The following is a 25,423-nucleotide window of genomic DNA, read 5'->3' on the forward strand; positions in this document are numbered from 1 at the left end:
AGGCTGGAGCCGCGGTAGGACGGCTCGCCTCGCTGCGGTTTGTGGTGACGGCAACGGAGAAAGCAGTGTGGCGCAAGCGGTAGGAGGAGGAAAATAGTTTTGGGATAGATGGAGGGAGGTAAAGAGGGTGGTTAGTGACAAAGGGAAAAGAGAATAGCGAGCAGGAGAAGGTGTTGCAAAAAGACAGTGGGGAAAAGATGGTGGGAAAAAAGTTTTTGGGTAAATGGAGGGGGAGAAACAGGGTGGGGAGCGGGAGGGAGGGAAGGTTTTGCAGAAAGACAGTGGGTAAAAAGTTTATGGGTAGATGGAGGAGAAGAGGGTGGCAAGGGGGAGGAGGAAAGAGGGTGGGAGGGAAATGGGGGCAAGCAGTAGGGAGAGAAGGTTTTGTGAAAAGACAGTGGGGAGAAAAGTTTTTGGGTAGATAGAGGGGGAAAAGAGGGTAACAAGTGGGGGAAGGGAAAAGGGTGGCCAGCGGGAGGAAGACAGGGTTTTGCAAAAACACAGCAGGCAGAAAAGAAAGACGGGGCGGGGAAGAAAAGATGATGGGTAAAATGTGTTTGGGTAGATGCACGGGGGAAAGAGGGTGACCAGGAGGAGGAGAAAAGAGGGTGGCGAGAGGGAGCAGGGAAAGAGGGTTGGGGAAAAAATGGAAAAATAGTTTGGGGTAGATGGAGGGCAAAACAGAGTGGAAAGCAGGATAGGGCAAAGAGGATGAGTGGGAAGGGGGAAATACTGAAAAGACGGTGGGGAGAACTTTGAGGGATAGATGGAGGGGGAAAAGAAGGAGGTGAGCAGGAGTGGGGAGAAGGCTTTCCGAAAAGGCTATGGGGAAATGTTTTTGGGTAGATGGAGAAGGGAGAGGGTGGCAAGGAGGAGCAGGGGAAAGACGATGAGGAAAACAGTTTTTGGGTAGATGAAGGGGGAAAAGAGGTTGGTGAGCGGCAGGAGTGAGGAGAAGGTTTTGGGAAAAGAGGGGGGAAAATATTTTTGCTTAGATGAAGGAGCAAAAGATGGTGATGAGAGTGGGACGGGGAAAAAGAAGGTGGCCAGGGAGAAGGGGAAAAGACGGTGGGAGAAAACAGTGGGGAGAGTGTTTGGGTAGATAGATGGGGAAAAGGCTGGTGAGCGGGAGAGTAGAGAAGGCTTTGCGAAATGACGGTGGGGGAAAAATGGTGGGGAAAAAGTTTTGGGGTAGATGGAGGAAGAAAATGGGTGGCGAGGGGGAGGAGACCAAAGGCGGTCGGGAAAAGAAGGTGGAGAAATAATGGTGAGAGACAAAGGTTTTGGGTAGATTTTTTAAAATCAGATTATTTGTATTTTTGCTTTTGAGTAGTTTGAGTTCTTTATATATTTTGTGTATTAACCCCTTGGCTGATGCATAGTTTGCAAATATTTTGTTCCATTCTCTGGGTTGTTTCTTCATTCTACTGATTGCTTCCTCTGCTTTGCAGAAGGTTTTAAGTTTAATGTAATTACATCTTTGCCTTTGTTGCTTATACTTTTGACAAGTTTAATGTAATTACATCTTTGCTTTTGTTGTTTGTGCTTTTGATGTCTATTTGTGCTCAAGATTTCTATACATTATGTTCATTGTCTGCTTTATCAGTAAAAGTATAGTAGAGACTGGGTTTCACCATGTTTGCCAGGCTGGTCTCGAACTCCTGACCTCAGGTGATCTGCCCTCCTCAGCCTAACAAAGTGCTGGGATTACAGGTGTGAGCCACCGTGCCCAGCAGTCATCTTCTTTCTTAGATGGAGTCTTGTGTGAAACACACCACAGAAGTTATGTTCACTTACAGCTGGGGGAGACTGACCACCTTGTGTGACAAGGTTGGAACCCAAGTGCCACACTTCCCTGTGTGTCTCCACATGTCCTCAGGCCTGCTGGGGGCTCCCTTGTCCTGGTCTTTCATGCAGAGGAAAGACGTAGTGTGTGTTGAGAGCCAGCCTGGTGGTGGGACGTAGTGACTGCCCAGCCAGTGGAAGCTGCTGCTCTTGCCTCTTTGGACCGTCCCTCCCCTGTCCAGGACCTCACTTCATCTAAACACCTCAGGTCAAGCCCAGCAGGAAAATGAGATTCTCTTTTCCTTTCTTTTTTTCTTTTTTCTTTTTTCTTTCTTTCTTTTTTTTTTTTTTTTTTTTCATGTAGAGTCTCATTCTGTTGTCCAGGCTGGAGTGCAGTGGCGAGATCTCGGCTCATCGCAACCACTGCCTCCTGGGTTCAAGGGATTATTCTGCCTCAGCCTCCCAGGGAGCTGGGATTACAGGCACCTGCCACCATGTCTGGCTAATTTTTGTATTTTTAGTAGAGACAGGGTTTCACCATGTTGGCCAGGCTCGTCTCGAACTCCTGGCCTCAAGAGATCTGCCCACCTCGGCCTCCCAAAGTGCTGGGATTATAGGCATGAGCTATCAAGCCCAGCCTAGAACTTCCCTTTTCTTTTCTTTTTTTTTTTTTTTTTGTTTGACACAGAGTCTTGTTCTGTCGCCCAGGCTGCAGTGCAGTGGCGTGATCTCAGCTCACTGCAACCTCCACCTCCCAGGCTCAAACGATTCTCCTGCCTTAGCCTCCCAAGTAGCTGGGACTACAGGCACGTGCCACTATGCCCAGCTAATTTTTCTTTTGTATTTTTAGTAGAGACAGGCCAGGCTAGTCTTTAACTCTTACCTCAACTGATCCACCTGCCTCGGCCTCCCAAAGTGCTGGGATTACAAGCATGAGCCACTGTGCCGGGCCAAACTTCCCTTTTCTTTCCATTTCTTGGTATTTGGAAAGTGAGCAGCCATGGAACAGCCGGTGTTTTCAGCTGGTGCAGACCCAGCTGGTATGCTCGTAAGACTTCTAGCTGAAGGAAGTGTCCACCCTGCAGTCTCGCTGGCATCCCATCACCTTCCAGAAGCAGGATGCCAGCTGTGTGTGCTCTTGGCTCTGTGCTCGGGGTGCTGGTCTTGCCAGTTTTCCCACCCCTTGTTTCGGGTGAGGTCCCGCCCAGCTGGCATGGGAAGGAGGATGGGGATTGGTCACCACTGTGGTTTGTTGCAGAGTGAGTTTGGTGGCTGCCTTGCCTGGGCCCAGCTCCCATGTTTCTCCCGCTTGGCTGCAGCTCCAGCCCTGCTCTGTCCCCCGTAGCTTCCTGCCCAGCTCCACACTGCAGCCTTCCCAGCACCCAGAAACAGCACAAACCCCACAGAACTCCAGTGTCCCCTCCCCTAGTCCTTTACACACACCTGCTAAGCCAGGCCTGGGACCCACAGCTCCATCATGTGAGCTGTACACGGCCCGGCAGGTTGAGGTGCTAGGTCACCCCTCACCTTTACAAGGCCTCAGGTCATACCATTCATGCGTGCTCTGGGGCCCTCAGAGCCCAAGCTCCCAGCCTGAGGGTCTAGGGCTGAGGCCTCACCCGCCCATAGTCCTGCAGTGACCCCAGCTCTGTCATGAGTCCAGCCGGCTCCAGCCGGGCCAGGAGCAGCTGTACTGGGACACGCTGAAGCAGCTGTCCAAGCACATCAAGCCCCTGCACCGCGTGGTCAACAAGATCGACAAGAGTGAAGGTGGGCTGCGGCCGGGGTGGGGGCCAGTGCCCTGGGGATGCCACCAGGCTCGTGTCTTATGGTCCCCTCTGCTGTCCCAGACAGAAAAAAGGACCTGAGCAAGATGAAGAGCCTTCTGGACATTGTGACAGACCTCTCCAAGCAGTGAGTTTTGCCCACAGCCAACGTAGGGTCCACAAGGGCGTGGGTCGTCCAGCCATGGATGGGCATTTGGTGATGATGTGGGGTTAGCAAAGGCCCCAGGCAGCTCTTTGGGCCCTGGACAGAGGCCTCCAAGTCTCCACTCTGGTGTGTGCTGGGGCTTCGAGCCCAGGCTTCATCTTGGCCGGTGCCCAGCCTTTGCCCTACTCCTGACCACTGCTGCGGCCCTCATGCTGGCCCATCACAGCCAGGTCTCATCCAGCCAGTAGTTGGGGGCCCAGCTTGCAGTGACCTGAACATCAGCTGGCCGTGATGGGCCTGAGCATGACCTGGAGTTCTGCCCCTGACTTCCCGGTGACCATGGACAGGGGACTGCATCTCAGTTACCCCATTTGCAACCCATGTGTGCTGTCATGAAAATGAAACAAGACGGTGCTGGTGAGAAGCAGGTGGAAGGCAGGGCCACCGGCCACGGGCTGCTGTGAGCTCGGGCAGCACCTCAGAACCGCATGGGCGTTGGCCTATACTTCCCTGTCACCTAAACTCAGGGTGTCCCCCCACCCCCGTCTAGAAGTGTCTCTCTGTTTTGCTTGTCTGGATAGAATGCCAGTCACTATTGGGTGGTCCTCCAGGCCTTCTTGAGTTGATTCTTCATTAGGGTTATAGGACTGAGCAGGACAGGGACTGGCCTAGGTGCAACTGAGGCCTTTCCAGCCTGGTCAGGGTCCCGGCCACTGTCCCTTCTCTTGACCCACTGCCTCACTGCCAACAGGGATGGGCAGCTCCTAGGGGTGAGGGCCACCTGCCTAGACTCTGGGTCTGGGAACAGCTGGTCAGCTGAAGGGAGCTCCTGCAGAGGTTTCTGAGGGCCGAGGCCCAGTGGCAGTGGTTGGGATCCCAGATCCCAGCCTGAGACCTGCCATGTCTCCCAGCCCTCCAGCACAGAGCTCAGCCCAAGTCCCCTCTCTCTGCAGGTCCCCTGAAGACCTTGCCAAAGTGTGAGATCGCCCTGGAGAAACTCAAGAATGACATGGCGGTGGTGAGTGGGATGCTGGGGACCCCTGGGGGATCGGGGCTCCCTCAAGAGCTCCTGGGGGCACCACTGGAGGGGCCTTCATGGTCAGGCTGGGTGGGGGCTGGGCCTGATCTGAGACCCTGCCCACCAGGCCTCTTCCAGGCCAGGTTTGCTGTGCTGGGCGGGAACGTGGGAGAAGTCACCCTCTGTCTGTGGCCCCCGTGGGTGCCTCTGCCACCCGGTCCAGAGACAGCAGGGACTCTGGGGAGGACAAGGCTGTGGGGGTGGGGATTATACCCAGGATCGGCCAACATTGTCTGCACAAGGGTGGAGGCTGAGAGAGAGGCCTTGGGAATCTGGCTGTGAGTGAGGACTGGCCAGAGGTGGGAAGGCCCCCTAAATGGAGAACCCTCAGGTCCCGGGCTTCTGACCGTGCGCATCCTACCGCCAGCCCGCTGCCCCTGGTGCCGCTGACCAAACAGCAGTACCTATGCCAGCAGCTCCTGGATGCTGTCCTGGCCAATATCCGCTCACCCTCTTCAGCCATTCCCTGTACCGCACATTCGCTCCAGCCATGACTGCCATCCACGGCCCACTCATCACATACATCCAGCTGGGCTGGGCTTTGCAGAGGGCGGATGGCCAGCCCTGGACCATGTGTGCCCACTGTGGTCACCATGCTGCCTCCTCACGTCCACAGTGGTGTGCACCCGGAAGCACAGGCTTGAGGACGATGAGCGGCAGAGCATCCCCAGCATGCTCCAGGGCGAGGTGGCCAGGCTGGACCCCAAGTGCATGATAAACCTGGACTCTTCTCGCTGCAGCAACAATGGCACCGTCCACCTGGTCTGCAAGCTGGGCGAGCGTCCAGGAGGGCCAGGCCGGCACAAGTTCGCAAGCCTTGTCCACAGCACCAGGTCTCTGCCATCCGAGCCGGAGGGCACCGTGCCCAGACCCCACCCTGTGTTCACACCCCAGCAGGCTGTCTGCTTTGTCTTCACATACACGGAGCCCAGGACAGACTGGCCATGCCTCTGCCCCCACGCACCCTCACCTCCCCAACACAGATACGGCTCTGCTTGCCTGGGGCCCTAGGGAGGTGACAGGCAGGACCTCTGGGCACCCATTGACGCAGGGCACTCTGGGCTTCAGGTTTGGAAATCTGAGAGTCAGAGAGACATCCAGGCTTTGCCGCAAGCCTCACCAGAACCTCCCGGGGTGTGAAGAGTCCTGTTCGGGAGCAGGGCTGTGAGGCGGGGCAGGCCAGGGCTCGTCCGGGTCACAGGTACAGCCTTGTGTGTTGCAAACGACAAGGACCTCCCAAGTGTGCCACCATGTGCCCACCCACTACCCTGCCCAGAGTCCACTGTGGATGGACTGGCAGTGGCTGTACAGTGGGCAGACCCAGAGGAGCTGTCTGGGGGCCCAGGGCAGGCAGGGGTCATTCTGGAAAACCAAGCTTCTAGTGCTGCAGGGACAGCCTCTGTGCCCCTCCCCGGCTCAGGCCCCTTCCTCCCCTCTTCTGGCTCCTCCTGTGTGGAATCTCTCAGGTTCCAGTGGTAACCTGAGAGATAGGAGTCTCTGCTCTTCTGTGTCCCTTTGCCCCTTCATCTTGTGTCCGGTCAGCTTTCCAGGGTGGCTGTGTTCAGTGGCTGAGGGGTGAGAAACCCTACGGCTCAAGGACAGACCCCACTTTTCCCAGAGGCCACTAGGGAGCTCAGTGGAGCTGACAGGTCCTACCAGTAGCTTGGGCACACAAGACCCCATCTGGGTGATGTGGCTCCAAAGAGAGTCATGTTGACAGGAGTCAGTCTCCCTGAGCCCAGAGCTGGCACATAGCAGAGCCAGGGCTGGGTCCCCAAGGTTGTCAGAGGCAAAGCCTTGAGCTCCAAATCCCGTTCAGATTCAGTTCTTCACTGATGATGAGGCTCCGGGAGGAGAGCCTGATGGCCAGGCAGGCAGCGTGCAGGGATCCTCCTGGTGCTTCAGCCAGTCCTGGGGCTGCCACTTCCCAGAGCACTGCCGGGTGTGCAGGGCGTGGGTGCAGCGCCAGCTGCCTCAGGCTCATGCCCACTGTTCGGTTGCAGGCACCAACCCCTTCCTCAGGTCGATGCACCACCGCGTGACCTCCAGGCGGCTGCAGCTCCCGGACAAGCACTAGGTTACCACCTTGCTCAGCACCTGTGCCCAGAGCATCCACAAGGCCTGCCTCTCGGCTGCCTAGCCAGGACTGCAGGGATGGCCCGCAGCCTCATCGGGGCCAAGGATGCATGCCTCCTGTCAGACACTTCTAGATGTTGGTGTCCATGGAGAGCCTGGAGTTAGGTTAGCTTTCCTCCTTTTCTCTCCTGCCTTGGGGATCTGCCAAATGAAATCCCACACTTGTACAGACTGATAGGTGCGCAGTGGAGTGTGCTGCCTGCAGGGAGTTGGCTGTCTTCTTGGAGAAGGCACTCCATGTGACTTCCTCCATGAAGCCAGACACAGTCCCCAGCCACGATCCTCGGGCTGCTCTCACCACGGCCTGTCCAGGGTCCGGGTGCATCTCAGCAGCATGAGGTTGTGCTCAGGTTGTTGTTAGCGTGTCTTGTGTGTGCTCGACACACCCCTGCTGCTTTCTATAGGAGAACACAGAGGACATAGGAAACCCTTCAAACACACATGGGACTCTCTGCTCACAGTTTTGGGTTCAGGCTGCACTGCTTTGGGCAAGTGGGGCACCCCCTAGGGAAGCCCCTGAGTCCAGGGCACAGGATGCCTCTTTCAATACTTGTTTTTTTTCTCATACTCAGGATCTATCCTGTAGACTTTATAACACTGTACCCTTAAGCTACACCAAATTTATTAAAAAATATTTTTTCTTTGATAATTAACTTTTCTGTAGCTTTTAAAATTTATAAACTTTTAAATTTTTTAACTTTTTGACTTGCAATAACAGCTTAAAATACATTGTACAGCTAGCTGTATAAAAATATTTTTCTTTATAGCCTGTAAGTTTTTTTATTTGAAAAACGTTCTATTTTAATTTTCTTGAAAACTCTGTTAAAAGCTGTGACGCAAACATATACATTAGCCTAGGCCTACACTGGGTCAAGATCATCAGTGTTACTGTCTTCCACCTCCACATCTGCTCCCATTGGAAGGTTTTTAGAGGAAATAACGTGTGGATCCAGCTGTCATCTCTTGTAGTAACAATGCCTTTTTCTGGAGTACCTCCTAAAGGACCTTCTGAGGCTGTGTTTCATAGTTAATTTTTTATCTTTAAGTAGGAGTATACTCTAAAATAACAATAAAAAGTATACCATAGTAGGCTGGGCCTGGTGGCTCACGCCTGTAGTCTCAGCACTTTGGGAGGCCCAGGCAATGGATCACCACCTGAGGTCAGGAGTTGAGACCAGCCTGGCCAACATGGCAAAAGGCCTTCTCTACTAAAAATACAAAAAAATAAGTCAGGTGTGGTGGCTTGCAGCTGTAGTCCCAGCTACTCTGGAGGCTGAGGCAGGAGAATTGCTTGAACCCGGGAGGCGGAGGTTGCAGTGAGCTGAGATCACACCACTGCACTCCAGCCTGGACAACAAAGTGAGACTCCATCTCAAAAAAAAAGTATATTATAGTAAATACATAAACCAGTAACAGTTATTTATTCTCATTATCAGGTATTGTATACTATACATAATTGAATGTGCTATACTCTTTTTATATGAATAGAAGTGAAAGTTTGTTTACACCAGCATCGCTGCAAACAAAAAGTAATGCATTGTGCTTGGACATCATGATGGTTATGTCACTAGGTGATAGGAATTTTTCAGCTGTGTTACATATTGTCTGTCATTGTCTGAAATGTTGTTATGTGGCATAAGACTATTTACTTTTTTTGGAAATTATTCTTAAATAAGGAAAAATTCTGATATCTACTACTTGTTCTCTGATCTTATCTTCCTGTGCAATGGCTGCATTAGAGAAGAGTCGTTAGATAGTTACACTTAGTTACATCAAAGTAAATACATTTGTTTAATCAAAGTTTCAGCTTGATCTAAGGTGAAACACCTCAACTTAGAGTGAGGAAAAAATACAGTTGAAAGAGAGCAAACAGTAAAACCAGAATTTATTACATCATTTAATAAAACATTTGCCTAGGCGTTAAGGGGCAGTTATAAATATAAAACCAAACTATTTGTAAGTTTTGCCATCTCTCTTCTGTAGTGACATTCTTGAATATAAATGTGTGCATTTAAATAGCTATTCTTCCCTTCTGAGGACTACAGCCCTTCAGTGTTCTTGGGTATAATAACAAATGCATGTTTCACTTAATCACAGAAGATGGTTCATTTGTGTTGTAGATATGCATGTCTGCTTTTTAACTTTGAAAGACAGCCCGTTTACTTGGACATTTGTATTATGGGTCCACAGTTGGTATACAGTCTACTATTTCTATGTTATATATATGTTTACATAAAGGCATTCATGTCAAAATCAGATAGTTTTGTGTTCTTTTAAAGAAGAAAAGGAAGGAAATATGTTATAATAATAGGTGATATTAGATCTAGAATATAATTATTGGATTTTTGGTTGAAAAACATCTATGATTATTTTAATTCATCCTATGTCTCTGTAATGGAAACATATTTTCCATAAGTTTACCTTTCTCTGAATTCTTTCTGTTTTATGAATGTTCTTCAGGCAAAATGCGTGCATTCTGTACCTCAAAAGAGATGGAGTGCCATCGAAGGAAAAAGCAAATTTTACAATTAAACTAGTAAATACAGAGATTGTCTAGATAACATATTTCATTAATTCTAAGAAGCACTTATTTTTACTCTTCTCTGAAATTGGGAGTGTATCTTATTTTAGATGGTGTCTTACAATTGACAGTGTGTTTTCATTCCTTTTGGGACATCAAATAATGCTGCATCTTAAAACGGACAATACTGTAGAGTCTGTGAAATACTTGCGTATATGTGTGGGGAGTGTTTGTTAATGAGTTACCCAGTGTGGAGATTTGTGAGAACTATAGACCAAATATTTTTTCCCTTATGTTTTTACATTTTGGAAAATAGTTTTTTAAATAGGAGGCTTTTTACAACCTGATATTAAGCTTTGAGTATTGTAGTAGATTTTCATTGTTTCATTAGATTGATTAAAAAATAATATAAATGGTGCAAAAACAATTTCCATTTTGTAAGCTTAATAATACTGACCTTATGCTTACTACTGAGTGTTTCTACTTATACCACACATTTGGTAGTATAAAAATAGCTTTTTTCAAAGTTTTCTCATAATAAATTTCTTTTAAAAGGTTGGATAGCTATTATCCTGAGTCTTATGTCTGATACCATGTTTTTGTTTTGTTTTTAGAGTCTTATATTTAAAGAAAAAGTAACAAGCCTTAAATTTAAAGAAAAACCTACAGGCCTGGAGACAAGAAGCTGTAAGTATCTTCTCTTGTCCATGGTGAAACTAATTCATGCAGATCCAGAGCTCTTGCTTTGTGTAAGTGTTTTTTTATGAAATGTGTCAAAATTACCACACTAAGTTCATTTGGTTTAACTGAAACGCCAAGACCTTGAGGGTAATTTTTAGCTCAAGAGCACTTACTGATCCTTTCTGATCATAACTGAAAACTAAGACGTCTCTAAGAAACCTAATGTATAATGAATACTGATATAATTAGATCAGATTCTTAATTGCCCTTACCATTTCTTAACATTTCTCTTTCTTCTTAATTTCCGTATCATTCAACTGACATGCTTAACATAACTAAGCTTCTCCAAACTTGTATTCATTATGGGAGAATGCCATTCTTATGTCTGGTTATATCTGCATTAGGTTATTGTTGATGGTAGTAACAATAAATTTTATGTTACTGCAGCTCACAAGTGTATTTTTACATCTGCAAGAAATTAACTAGTCATTAAATGCTTAGTAGCACAGAAATTCTCAAGTGGTTGCAGGAAATTTTGATCTGCAGGAATAAATTTCTTTCTTAAAAATAAGGTAAACGAAATGACATCTTTAAAAAATGAGAGAATATTTGGAATGGTGATGGGGAGAGATTAAGAAAGTGTTTTATAGCCAAATTAGTTTCTATTTCAGCTCCTCCTTCCCCCCAAGGTTCTCAAAAGGATATATATGTGCAGAGGACAAGGGCTGGCAAATTAGCATTTTAAAATTATTCTGAAGCTTTGGCCGTAAAACCACACTGTTGATGAATTCTAGTTCTAGTTGAGTTACATAGGTCTCTATGGGACAGGCTAGGAAAAGTGGGGGCTGCTATAACCAAAGTAGCTTGAGGAGCATATTCTATCTTTACTCTCAAGTTCACACATAGACATAATTCATACGTAAAATTTAACATATAGCTTCTGTAATTAATCTAAGAATTCTATTATGGCATAGATTTGGGAGTACTTGATTTAATGAGTTTTTTGTCCAGTTCTAGAATCATAGCTCTGAGAAATCATAAAGGCCTAGATGTCGTGGCTAGACTAGTCCAGAGAATTATCTATCAAGAAGCAAAAGGGAAAAGGTTGAGGGTCCTCAATCTAGGTTTATTTCTATTCCTCCAATAAGGGTTTCACATCTTGAAAATTTCACGACACTTCTCGGGGTGGAGTGAAATTTTTTGATTCTGCACTATTGAAACATGGTGAGGTTGTGGCAGATAGAGAAGAGTCTTACATTTCTTCTAACATATAGTTTCTATAGTTAATCAATTTAGGAATTCTATTATGGCCTAGTTTTAGGAGTACTTGATTTAATGAATTTTTATCTGGAACTAGAAGCATAGCTGTGAAAAACCTTAAATGTATGAAACTCATATCCTTTTCAGTATTATACAGCTTGTTATTAATAAATTGTCTCTGTTTAGAAATAGACTAATGGTGAAGTGGGTTTATTCACATCTGGCTTATTTGATGTGTTAATGTAGCAGAATTTGGCATTATTCCAAAGATATGGAAAGAGATTAGACTTCAGACTTTCGTGCCCTTGCCTATGGCATAATCTCCAGAATATGAGTATGAGGAATCCAGTAATGAATTCGTAGTGCCCTGGTCAGCACAGTCACTCTTGTGATATAGTTGGTGTATATACCAGTGTTAATTACTGGTCCAGAAGAACTTAATCTCAAGAGTCAATTTCTAGTTATCCCAACATGGCACGGATAAAATCTTGCAGAAAAAAAATCTTTGTCATTGAGACCAAATTATAGTTTTCATACAGTGGATATACATTGTTGATGTTTTACTTATGTTTATGTTAGACTTAATTTATATTTGTAGAATCTACTGTTTCTGATTATTTAGAGAATGGGAAACTGAAAGAAATTTTAAAGACATTAAGTGAACATTATTTGTTCTAATGGGTTTCTAGTGAATTTCCTTCAAGGTGGGGTGTAGAGATTGAGAGGAGAGGTTTTCTAGGAGAGTCTCAAACAGGAAGACAACCGATATAAGTGTTTATTCCTCTTGGTTGTCAGTGTGTCAGTAAAGCTTCTTTCCTTCTTTTTTCTAGCAGGCAGATAGAAGTTCATGTCACTTTCTCCTTTTTTATGGAGTAGGATGTGATACTCCTTCTAGTGGAAATACCAATCAAATGTCCATGGGTCATGAAGTGTCACTACGTACTCCTGAGCCTCTCTCCAGAAGGGAAAAGGGAACTCCTCTATGGTCAGCTTCTTTTGTAATTTTCCTGTATCATCTCGTGTGCTCTATTTGTTTTCTGAATGAACTTTGGTAAATTTCATCCAGGTAATATAGAGTAATAGTGAAAAACTGCTTAGACTCTAGTTCTATCACTGCTCTTTATGGAACTTTGGGCAAGTTCTTAACATCCTTGTTCCTCAATTCCTCAACTTTAAAATGGGGACAATAATAATTCCTGCTCCAGAGTTGTTGTGAGGGTTAAATAAAAAAATGTGTAAATAGCACTTGACACATACAAGCTGTATCTGATAACCTCCACCTCATGAAAAACCATTCATAGCATAGAAGTATAGAATTTGTACCAGCTAACAAAGGTACAGATGTACAGGGATAAAAACAAAATATTTTGTTTCATGTTAAAGATAAGTGTTTCTGTGATTTGCATTTGCGTGTATAATTTCCTTTAAATATAAATCATATTTCAAGTGAAAATATCGGGTCATTACAGAAGAGTTTATTTTCCAAACCAAAACTTTTTTCATCCCTAATTTTTAATATAGCCTTGTTAAAGAAAAAAACATCTAAGCAGTATGCTATTTATTATTGTCTGTTTTACTTGCAGAATTTGAATGTATTTTGTCAATTATTTTCTCCATTTCATGTTTGCGGAATAGGTCATTCAGAATCAAGTCTATCTTCTACAGCAATATTTTGTTCTTGTTTATGCCCTTGTTTCAATGAGTGCCGCAGTGTACTTATTTTATTACTTCCCTAGAGCAAGTAGATAGAATTTCCTGTTACTTCCTCTGTTTTTGTCATTTGTAATTGACTGGGAAGTACATTATATAGTTACTGCAGTAGATTTATGTTATGGTGTTTTACCTGTCCGTGTTAGAATCGGTTTCCATTTCTGGAATCTGGAATAGGATAATACCTATTTTATTTGAAATTGGACAGATAGTAGCTTTATATTGGTCCAGATAATCTCATTTCTCATTTGGACAAGATAATTTGGGGTTTGAAAAATTCATATAATGATTAAAGGAGAAAGCTCTTATGAGTTATTGTATGCTGAGATATATGTGGACACACACACACACACACACACACACACACACACGCAGTTTATTGCATTGTTGGGTTTTATACATAAAATTACCCAAGTTGCAAATATATGTCTACCACCCTTGACTCTCAGGATAGTGCAGCAGGATGCAGCGGAACCCCCCTGACTTGCTGACAAGCGCAGACCAAACTAGAAGTGGCCCTGTACATGTTTCTGCGGAACCCTGACACTGAAGCTGTTCTGGTTGCCATGTCCTGTTTCCGCCACCTCTGTGAGGAAGCAGATACCCGGTGTGGGGTGGACGAAGTGTCATTGCGTAACCTCTTGCCCAACTCTAACACATTCATGGAGTTTGCCTGTCAGCAATGTGATGTCAACAGGTAAATATGAATAGTGGTTTTTTTACTCAACCTCCCTAAAGCACATGGCATCTGATTGTGAGAATGTATTTAAGATTACACTTCTGTAAGTTTACAGGAGAAATTCAAGTAGCTTACTTGAAATCCTTTTCTGAACAAAGTAAGATGAAAATAAAAAGCGTTTGAAATAAATTGTTAGTCTCCCACTGAGTTTTTAATATGCTATAGATTTTAAAATTAACTGGCAGTACGTGTTACTATCAGTTATGACTATGTAATTTACGTTTGTATGACTATGTAATTTATGTTATCCATATACATAGTCAAATTACATATGACTATGTAATTTATGTTATCCATAACTCCGTATGTTATGGATAGTGAAGTTTACACACATTGGCATATGTTTTGAGTAAATTATAGGTGGGAATAGCTATTTTATGCTGTGGACATTGTAGAGTCTAAGATAAGTACCTTTCCTGTGAGGTTAGTGAACGGAAGTTTTTGGCTTTATCATTTGAGGCATTTGCTCTGCTCCTCCTACTCTGCCTTTTGGGTGGGGCTTATCAGGTTCTCCATTGGCAGGCAGGGCTCTAAGTGCAGTAACTTGATTTGCTGTTGTAGTTGCTTAGGCACAGCAGCACTTCAGAAAGAGTGATGGCACTGCTGAGGCGCACTGAGCATCCCACTGCAGGAAACACTGAGGTGTGCTCTTAGCAAGAGAAACACCCCTCCCAGGCGCCCACCCTCAGTTTTGGAAGCCTCTTGTTACATATGTGTGATGAGGAATAGCTTTTGAAGTAAATCCAAGATATGTGCATATTACAAGTATAATATCTGAGTACTTAATATATATCAAGTTTGAAGCTTGGCTGTTGCTGATTGATGTTTAGCTCTAGACTTAAAGTTGCTTTCAAGTGATAACTGTCTTCATTTTAGACTTGGGAAGATACACATGCAAAATGGGAACAAGCAACAAAACTAATCCTTAGCTATCCAAAAGCCCAAATGGAAGATGGCCAGGTAAGTCTGTAAAGTTGACTTTTGTCTATTAACTGATCTGCTAAATATATGTCCTTCTCTTTGGTAATCTTTCACGAGTCACTCAGTAAAGTAAGCATATAGTTGTCTGAAGACTGATATTTAGTTGTGGTTTATCTAGACCTGTAGTTTGTAATATGATAGCCACTAGCTACGTGTGACTATTTAACTTAAATTTTAACATAATTAAAATTAAATACAGTTTAGTTCCTCAATCATATAGTAGCCACATTGCAGGTACCCAGTAGCCACATATGACAGGTACTTACTCTGTTGGACAGCAGAGAGAAAATGTTGCCATCATCACAGAAATACTGGGCAGCACTGCTAGAGACTGTTTGTTGCAAAGACCATTTCTTTATCTTTTCTTGCTCTTTCTCCCTTCATCAGGGTGTTTCACAGAATTTTCAGAAAAGGAGCAACAGAGGTAGAGAAAAATTAACATGGAAACCATTCATTTTGCTATTTTGTTAGGTATTCTAATTAAAGAATGTCTTGGGCAGAAGATGGAACCCATAGATAAAATGAAATTTTAAAACATGGACAGTTCCTTCAACTATTACTATTGACTATATTATCCATTACTTTGGAAATTGATGAGTTGGTGTTTGTGTGTATATGATTTATAATGTTCACATTGCTCTCATTATTAGGTGGTTTATAAAAACTGGCTCTTCCCCCATGTTATTTTTCTGTCATGCTTAATTATAATAAGAAAAAAGTTATAGTTTTGTGAAGCAAAATTGTGTACCTCATACCTTTATTTGGAGGGGACATGTAGCTTTAGAATGAAAGCTTTTGGGGGTAACTGTTACTATAATATGTAATTACATACCATACAATTCACGCATTTAAAGTGTCCAATTCAGTGACTTGTTAGCATGTTCACAGAGTTGTGCAACCATCACCACGATCAGTTTCAGGACAATTTCATCAATTGAGAAAACCCTGTATCCTTTAGCTATCTCTGCCTCTAACAACCCCCCAACTTTCTTGTCTCTCTGCCCCCCGCCTCTCCAACCCTGGGCAACCACGAATCTACTTTGTCTCTGTAGATTTGCCTATTCTGGATATTTTCTGTAAATGGAGTTTTAGAATATGTGGGCTTTTACGATTAGCTTCTTTCACTTAGCATAATGTTCCCAAGGTTCATCCGTGTGAAATCAAAGCTTTTTAAAAGAAATTTGATACTTGGGCAATTATATTAGTATATGACAAAAATAAATCAGTGGCTCTTTAAAAATGTATATGGTAATTTAGGGGGTTGATTTTAATGTATTTTTTTACATTTTTGTGTACGTTTGTCACGGAAGAAATGTTGGATAAAGAGTAATTTGTCAAGTCTCAACTAATTTAGGTTTAATTCATGCTTTGCACAAAAATTTTGTGTTTAGGCTGTTGAAAGCTTCACAAGACCATTGTTAAGAGGCGAATGTCCCATGTGAGTGGAGGAGGACCCATAGATTTGTCTGACACAGACTCCCTACAGGCATGGATCAACATGACTGGCTTCCTTTGTGCCCTTGGGGGAGTGTGCCTCCAGCAGAGAAGGAATTCTGGCCTGGCAACCTATAGCCCACCCGTGGGTCCGGTCAGTGAACATAAGGGTTCCATGATTTCAGTGATGTCCTCAGAGGGAAACGCAGATACACCTGTCAGCAAATATATGGATCAGCTGTTGTCGTTAATGGTGTGTAACGTTGAGAAAGTGGGACTTCAAATACGGACCAATGATAAGGACCTGGTGGGTCTAGAATTGAGTCCTGCTCTTTATCTGATGCTATTTAACAAATTGAAGAAGACCCATCAGCAAGTTTTTTGACTCCTAAGGACAGGCAAAGTGTGCTCTTTTTTATTTTTCACCTTTCCCTATGAATAGAGTGACTTGTTTGAAATAATGAAGCCTTTTTCTTTCAGATTATTTAAATTAGGTACTCACAGTTTTTAAAAATTGTCAAAAAATTGTAGAAAGAAGAATCATCTCAATGAATGGTCAGCTTGCTTCTAGGAACTCTGATGTGTATGTGTGCCTGAGGGTATACGTGCCTTGTATATGGGTATGAGTGTCTGTGTATATCTGTGTGCCTGTTTGGCTGCGTGCCTGTGGGTGCATGTCTCTATTTGTGTGTTTAGATCAGTCAGTTTCATCTCTCTAGGGATCTGTCTTCTGGGCATTGATGGCAAATCATTAATATATTTGTTCTCTCTATAGGTTTTATTGACTGATACCAATACTCAATTTGTAGATATAATGAAGAACTTGCTAGATAATCATACTGAAGGCAGCTCTGAACATCTAGAGCAAGCTAGCATTGAAACAATGATGTTAAATCTGGTCAGGTAAGCCTTCTACTGAAATGTAGCAGAAACATACTTTAAGATTTAAGAGACAAGAAAAACCTCTTACACATTGATATTGATAGTAATTGATAAAATAATTTGCCATTCTTTACTGCACACAAACTAGGCTGTGACAACAAGGTAACCAGAAATTGTGTATGCTCTCCTATAAATAAATGTCTTACTGTTTTCAAACTTACGATTAGTTCGTTTTATTTGATGGTTAAAGTATTTTGAATGCCTTATCTTGTGTCTGTATCTGATAATTTTTTTATTGTCTCTATGTCTGTATAGGTACGTTTGTGTGCTTGGGAATATGGTCCATGCAATTCAAATAAAAACGAAACTGTGTCAGTTGGTTGAAGTAACGATGGCAAGGAGAGATGACCTGTCATTTTGCCGAGAGATGAAATTTAGGTGAGTTCTCAAAAGAGCAATGTAGGGTCTTGTAAATCTTAATTTGTTGAATGAAGTACAGAAATGGAGTAGATATCTGGTTATTGGTAGGAAGGAAGACATAAAAAGAGAGCAGTTTACATGTTTGTTTTTCTCTGTGTCTCTCCTCAAATTTCCCTAAGCTTTGTGCCTGTGGCAAGCCTCCCTTTTTCTAAAACTCTGCTGTACTTGAGCTAAGAATTTGATCCTGTTTCCAATCTGATAGCATAACTAAAGGCCATGATGGAGGATCAGTATCCACGTTGCTTGTTCCTTCTGGCTTTTACATCTATGATAGCAGTATCTCTTTTATAAAGTCGTCATGTCACCTGGGTTATCTGCCAAATTATTTGCACCATAAGTAATCTTACATGACTGAAGGTGTGTGTGTGGGGGGGTATGACTTCAGAAAAATTGTTTGCTGTTTCTCTTTTCTCCACCATTCTATAGGAATAAGATGGTAGAATACCTGACAGACTGGGTTATGGGAACATCAAACCAAGCAGCAGATGATGATGTAAAATGTCTTACAAGGTAAAAAAAATGACTTTCAAATATTAGTGGGTTTTACTGTGAGAATTATAACTACTTCATTACAGCTTTATACTTGTATTTTATGTGTATTTAAACTTTTTAGATGTAAAACTTTTGTGTTCAAAATATGTAAAGACACTAATCTTTATTACTACTTTTTCTTGACCGATAGACTTTCAGGAAAAATAAATATGCGAGAGCGGTATGTTTGGGAAGTTATTGTTGTCAGTTTATGAAGAATAGTCTACAGTTATTGGGAAATAAGATACATAAAGCCTCAGATTGCATTTATGTTATGATGAGATAGATAAAGGTATTATTTGAGAAACTCATTGTGTTGAGTCTAAGAAACAATTGATTTCCTGATTCAAACACCAGAGATAGACCAAAAAAGGAAGTAATTAAGTCTACTTTAATGATAAATACTTATTGACACATATCAGAAAGTGATTAAACACTATGGACTGTATAATAAGCATTTACATATGTTTCTTTGACAAAGCCTAGCTTTATAATACGGTCGTCTCTCAGTATCTGTCAGGGATTGGTTCCAGGAACCACCCCCCAAACTCCTGCCCACATCTCACTCCCATGAACACTAAAATCCACAGACTCAAGTCCCTGATACAAAATGTCATAGTATTTGCATATAAACTGTGCACATCCTCCCATATATTTTAAATATTTTTAGATTACTTATAATATCTAATACAATATAAATGTTATATAAATAGTTGTTATACCATATTGTTTAAGGAATAAAAACAAAGAAAAATTTGTACATGTTGAGTATTTGAAATCCAGGAGATTAGGTTGGACTTTCAATAAATGGTATTGATAAAACTGAGTAATGATCTGGAAAAATATCTTCATACCATTTATGAGGATAAACTCCCATCAATCAAAACAGCATGGCAAAGCAAGGCCTTTTTCATCCATTCAAAATCCATAAGCTAGAAAGGAAAAGATTGATAAAATGAATTCATTCAAAAATCATAAACTTCTGTCTGGGACAAAAATGTCATGAGTAAAAACAATCCTATGGTTAATATCCTCGTCCAATAGTTCTCTTAGAATAGTCCTAAAAGTGCTTTTGTGGCTCAAAGAGCAATACCTTGAAATTTTTGGTGCATGTTGTCAGATTACCCTTTAGAATGCCTGTTGCTTTTAAAATATTTTTTTATTTTAGTATTTTATTGTTTATCCAATTATAGACTATTTTACATACTCAGTAGACAACATAAAGCCTCAGAGGTACTCTGTTCTTTTTCTTTTAGGCATCAGGTACCTGAAAAAGAAGAGATCAAGGCTTTGAAAACGTTAAGTATTTTCTACCAAGCTGGGGCTTCCAAAGCTGGGAATCCTATTTTTTATTATGCTGCACGGGGTAAGAAATACTATGTTTGGTGTCTCCTCTCAACAGAATTTTTTAAACGATAGCAATTATAGAGATGGCAAGTTTGGTTTTTCATATTTGACTTAACAAGAATTGAAGACAAGTTTACCTGGGAGCATACAGTGGGTTAAATAGCCTGCCTTTCCTAAAATGGTGGTCAGTATCTAGTAACTGCTTTTCAGACTACCCATTTCATATTGGTTTCCCTGTCCTACATCATTTTTTAAAATACTGCCTACAATGGATTAATTACCAAGAGTTAAAAAACCACAAAGCATCTTTTGTTTTCAAGTATATTCTGATTAAATAGTACAACATGATAAGCGGGAACTTTTTTTAAAAGAAGAAATAAAACTGTAAGAGCCTGTTTCTGAGAACTTTTAAAAATATGCTATGTAAGACAGCATCAGGGTGATTTAGCAAATAATTCAAAGGGGTGGTGGGAAATCATGAAGATGGTGCAAGGGGTGGCCTGGAAAATGGTGCTTGTTCGTGCTGCCCTCAGTCGAGGCTGGTTCCTAGAAAGCCTTTCTGGAAATGTTGTGAGCTCTTCCTTAATAATAGATATGATGCTTGCATTGCCTTCCCTATCATTGTCTTTTTTTCTTGCCTCATTTTACCTTCCTTTTGAAAACTCTTCTGTGACATTATTTGGTCCCATTTACCATAACATACATTCATGGTAATTGAGCCTTAGAGACAACATGATACGTATAGAGACCACTGATTTTGGAATCTCAAGGATCATGTTTAGACTTAGTTCTGCCAATCATTAGCTATAGACTTAATCTTTACCAGTTTCCTGGATTTAACAGTGTTTAACATCCATGACCGTTAAGTTAGTAGACGTACATTGTTAGTCAATTTGCTGGCCACAGGTGGCAGTGTGTAGGAAACAAATTGAGGTTGAGAAATAGTGGAGAGGCGGTGAAGAATCAGTGGAAGATGGGAAACTTGTCTAATTAGGTCATTCATATAGCCTTAAGACCAAGAAGTCCAAAGGACTGGAGCATTAGGGAATCAAGAAAGTAAGAAAATTGTGTCGAACCTCCCCCTGCCCCCGCCCTTTAACAATTCTAAGTAACCCCTTCTCACCTTCCCATGAAAGGCCTCTCTCCAGCTCTCATCTCGGTTGCTATTTCTAAATTGCCTAAGATAATTTTAATTTTCTTTTTTTTTTGGATTTTAGCATTCTAATTTTTTTTTATTATTATACTTTAAGTTTTAGGGTACATGTGCACAATGTGCAGGTTTGTTACATATGTATACATGTGCCATGTTGGTGTGCTGCATCCATTAACTCGTCATTTAGCATTAGGTGCATCTCCTAATGCTATCCCTCCCCGCTGCCTCCACCCCACAACAGGCCCCGGTGTGTGATGTTCCCCTTCCTGTGTCCATGTGTTCTCATTGTTCAATTCCCACCTATGAGTGAGAACATGCAGTGTTTGGTTATTTTGTCCTTGTGATAGTTTGCTGAGAATGATGGTTTCCAGATTCATCCATGTCCTTACAAAGGACATGAACTCATCATTTTTTATGGCTGCATAGTATTCCATGGTGTATATGTGCCACATTTTCTTAATCCAGTCTATCATTGTTGGACATTTGGGTTGGTTCCAAGTCTTTGCTATTGTGAATAGTGCCACAATAAATATACGTGTGCATGTGTCTTTATAGCAACATGTTTTATAATCCTTTGGGTATATACCCAGTAATGGGATGGCTGGGTCAAATGGTATTTCTAGTTCTAGATCCCTGAGGAATCGCCACACTGACTTCCACAATGGTTGAACTAGTTTACAGTCCCACTAACAGTGTAAAAGTGTTCCTATTTCTCCACATCCTCTCCAGCACCTGTTCTTTCATGACTTTTTAATGCTTGCCATTCTAACTGGTGTGAGATGCTACCTCATTGTGGTTGTGATTTGCATTTCTCTGATGGCCAGTGATGATGAGCATTTTTTCATGTGTCTTCTGGCTGCATAAATGTCTTCTTTTGAGAAGTGTCTGTTCATATCCTTCGCCCACTTGTCAATGGGGTTGTTTGTTTTTTTTCTTGTAAATTTGTTTGAGTTCATTGTAGATTCTGGCTATTAGCCCTTTGTCAAATGAGTAGATTGCAAAAATTTTCTCCCATTCTGTAGGTTGCCTGTTCACTCTGATGGTAGTTTCTTTTGCTGTGCAGAAGCTCTTTAGTTTAATTAGATCCCATTTGTCAATTTTGGCTTTTGTTGCCATTGCTTTTGGTGTTTTAGACATGAAGTCCTTGCCCATGCCTATGTCCTGAATGGTATTGCCTAGGTTTTCTTCTAGGGTTTTTACAGTTATAAGTCTAACATTTAAGTCTTTAATCCATCTTGAATTAATTTTTGTATTAGGTGTAAGGAAGGGATCCAGTTTCGGCTTTCTACATATGGCTAGCCAGTTTTCCCAGCACCATTTATTAAATAGGGAATCCTTTCCCCATTGCTTGATTTTGTCAGGTTTGTCATAGATCAGATAGTTGTAGATATGTGGCATTATTTCTGAGGGCTCTGTTCTGTTCCATTGGTCTATATTTCTGTTTTGGTACCAGTACCATGCTGTTTTGGTTACTGTTGCCTTGTAGTATAGTTTGAAGTCAGGTAATGTGATGCCTCCAGCTTTGTTCTTTTGGCTCAGGATTGACTTGGCAATGCGGGCTCTTTTTTGGTTCCATATGAACTTTAAAGTAGTTTTTTCCAATTCTGGGAAGAAAGTCATTGGTAGCTTGATGGGGATGGCACTGAATCTATAAATTACCTTGGGCAGTATGGCCATTTTCACGATATTGATTCTTCCTACCCATGAGCATGGAATGTTCTTCCATTTGTATGTATCCTCTTTTATTTCATTGAGCAGTGGTTTGTAGTTCTCCTTGAAAAGGTCCTTCACGTCCCTTCTAAGTTGGATTCCTAGGTATTTTATTCTCTTTGAAGCAGCTGTGAATGGGAGTTCACTCATGATTTGGCTCTCTGTTTGTCTGTTATTGGTGTATAAGAATGCTTGTGATTTTTGCACATTGATTTTATATCCTGAGACTTTGCTGAAGTTGCCTATCAGCTTAAGGAGATTTTGGGCTGAGACGATGGGGTTTTCTAGATATACAATCATGTCATCTGTAAACAGGGACAATTTGACTTCCTCTTTTCCTAATTGAATACCCTTTATTTCCTTCTCCTGCCTGATTGCTCTGGCCAGAACTTCCAACACTATGTTGAATAGGAGTGGTGAGAGAGGACATCCCTGTCTTGTGCCAGTTTTCAAAGGGAATGCTTCCAGTTTTTGCCCATTCATTATGATATCGGCTGTGGGTTTGTCATAGATAGCTCTTATTATTTTGAGATACGTCCCATCAATACCTAATTTATTGAGAGTTTTTAGCATGAAGGGTTGTTGAATTTTGTCAAAGGCCTTTTCTGCATCTATTGGGATAATCATGTGGTTTTTGTCTTTGGTTCTGTTTATATGCTGGATTACGTTTATTGATTTGCATATGTTGAACCAGCCTTGCATCCCAGGGATGAAGCCCACTTGATCATGGTGGATAAGCTTTTTGATGTGCTGCTGGATTCGGTTTGCCAGTATTTTATTGAGGATTTTTGCATCAATGTTCATCAGGGATATTGGTCTAAAATTCTCTTTTTTTGTTGTGTCTCTGCCAGGCTTTGGTATCAGGATGATGCTGGCCTCATAAAATGAGTTAGGGAGCATTTCCTCTTTTTCTGTTGATTGGAATAGTTTCAGAAGGAATGATACCAGCTCCTCCTTGTACCTCTGGTAGAATTCGGCTGTGAATCCATCTGGTCCTGGGCTTTTTTTGGTTGGTAAGCTATTGATTATTGCCTCAATTTCAGAGCCTGTTATTTGTCTATTCAGAGATTCAAATTCTTCCTGGTTTAGTCTTGGGAGGGTGTATGTGTCGAGGAATTTATCCATTTCTTCTAGATTTTCTAGTTTATCTGCATAAAGGTGTTTATAGTATTCTCTGATGGTAGTTTGTATTTTTTAATTTTCTTTTGTACTTGAGATGAACCATATTTGCATTCTAACCCCAACCTTTAATACAACCAGGATGTTTTTACTTTCCCTTTTTTGTGTAAGTAAAAAGCAAACATTGGTGAGGAAGGTAGAAGATGTGTGTCCCCTCCTCTTTAATTTTTTTTTTTTTTTGCGACAGAGTCTCGCTCTATCACCCAGGCTGGAGTGCAGTGGCTGGATCTTGGCTAACTACAAGCTCCGCCTCCCGGGTTCATGCCATTCTCCTGCCTCAGCCTCCCTAGCAGCTGGGACTACAGGCGCAGGCCACCATACCCGGCTGATTTTTTGTATTTTTAATAGAGACAGGGTTCCACTGTGTTTGCCAGGATGGTCTCTATCTCCTGACCTCGTGATCCACCTGCCTCAGCCTCCCAAAGTGCTGGGATTACAGGCATGAGCCACCATGCCCAGTCTAAAATCTGACTAGTTTACAAATAGCAAAGATTTCTGGAAAACAAAGTTGGGTTGGTTTTTTTTTCAGGATCAGAAACTGTTATATTTGTATTCCTTCTCTGTGGTGATCTAGAAAAAGCTAAAGGAAAGCAGATTGGACCTGCTGTAGATACTTCAGTGAGATTCAATCAGTTCGGTTTCCGTGAAACCTGTTGAGTCTTGTGGCTTGAGAGTGCTAAGGATTCTCAGCTCTGCTGCTTATTAGCTGCATATTCTTTTTTTTTTTTTTTTTTTTTTTTTGAGATGGAGTTTCACTCTTGTTGCCCAGGCTGGAGTGCAGTGGCACGATCTTGGCTCACTGCAACCTCCACCTCTTGGGTTCAAGTGATTCTCCTGCCTCAGCCTCCTGAGTAGCTGGGATTACAGGCATGCACCACCACATCCAGCTAATTTTACATTATTAGTAGAGACGGGGTTTCACCACGTTGGCCAGGCTGGTCTCGAACTCCTGACCTCAGGTGATCTGCCTGCCTCAGCTTCTCAAAGTGCTGGGATTACAGGTGTGAGCCACCACACCTGGCTTTAGCTGCATAATCTTAGATAAGTTTATTTTTCCAAATCTGTTGCTTCATATGTTAAAGCTGGGGTGTGTGCTTATGAAAACTGTCCACCTCTCCTATGAAGTGTTTTGTGACCTATAAAGTTGTGTAAGGAGTAAATTGGAGATTTTCTTTTTTTCTTTCTTTCTCTTTCTGGGGGATATGGCACTGTCAGTTTCAGATTTTCAGTCCTTTTAGCTTCTTACTTAGACCTACTGGAGCTCCTCCTGGCCTTCATTTTTGCCTGGTGGGAAGCCTAGCTCCAGGACAGATGAGTACACAGTACATCAGGGCAGAGCATCCATTTACTCCATTATGAAGGTCTTGTCTGTCTATATGCCATCAGCTTTGTCAAAGAGCACTTGGGTTTGACTTGTCTTTTGATACTCCTGTGTTTCTGCGGCTTAGACTACCATGTATTAAGTGATGCTTTTTGAATTGCGGATTTTCCAATCTCCTCATAGATAGTCCGCAGACGTTTCAGACTTGAAATGTCCAAAACTTAATTCAGTATCTCTTCCAATCAACCTCCTCTTCACACCATATTTCTCTTTCTCAGTAGCATCATCATCTCTTCTAGTTCCCCATCTAGAAACCCTAATCATTTTAAATTCTTTCCTCTTATTTCTTTTTTTTTTTTCCTGGTGTCCCCTGGGGTTTGTAAAGCTCTCCAGACATTGAGACTGTGCGGGCATGTCTCACTCCAAATTGGGCGAAATCAGTCATTGATTTTAATAGATTTTCACCAGGTACCTTTTCTGCGTTAAGCAGTGGGTTAGAGGCTAGACTCAGAGATGAGTAAAACCAGACCCCACCCCCTGACCTAGCCCTTCTTGCTCAAGAA

General features: G+C 42.4%; 2 pseudogenes; both read left to right on the forward strand.

Annotated features, from left to right (window-relative positions):
• Nucleotides 3,102–7,474, forward strand: MED15P1 (mediator complex subunit 15 pseudogene 1; annotated as a pseudogene).
• On the forward strand, nucleotides 10,066–19,515 carry NF1P4 (neurofibromin 1 pseudogene 4; annotated as a pseudogene).

Source organism: Homo sapiens, chromosome 14 (assembly GCF_000001405.40).
Source record: "Homo sapiens chromosome 14, GRCh38.p14 Primary Assembly".
In the NCBI taxonomy this organism is placed as follows: Eukaryota; Metazoa; Chordata; class Mammalia; order Primates; family Hominidae; genus Homo; species Homo sapiens.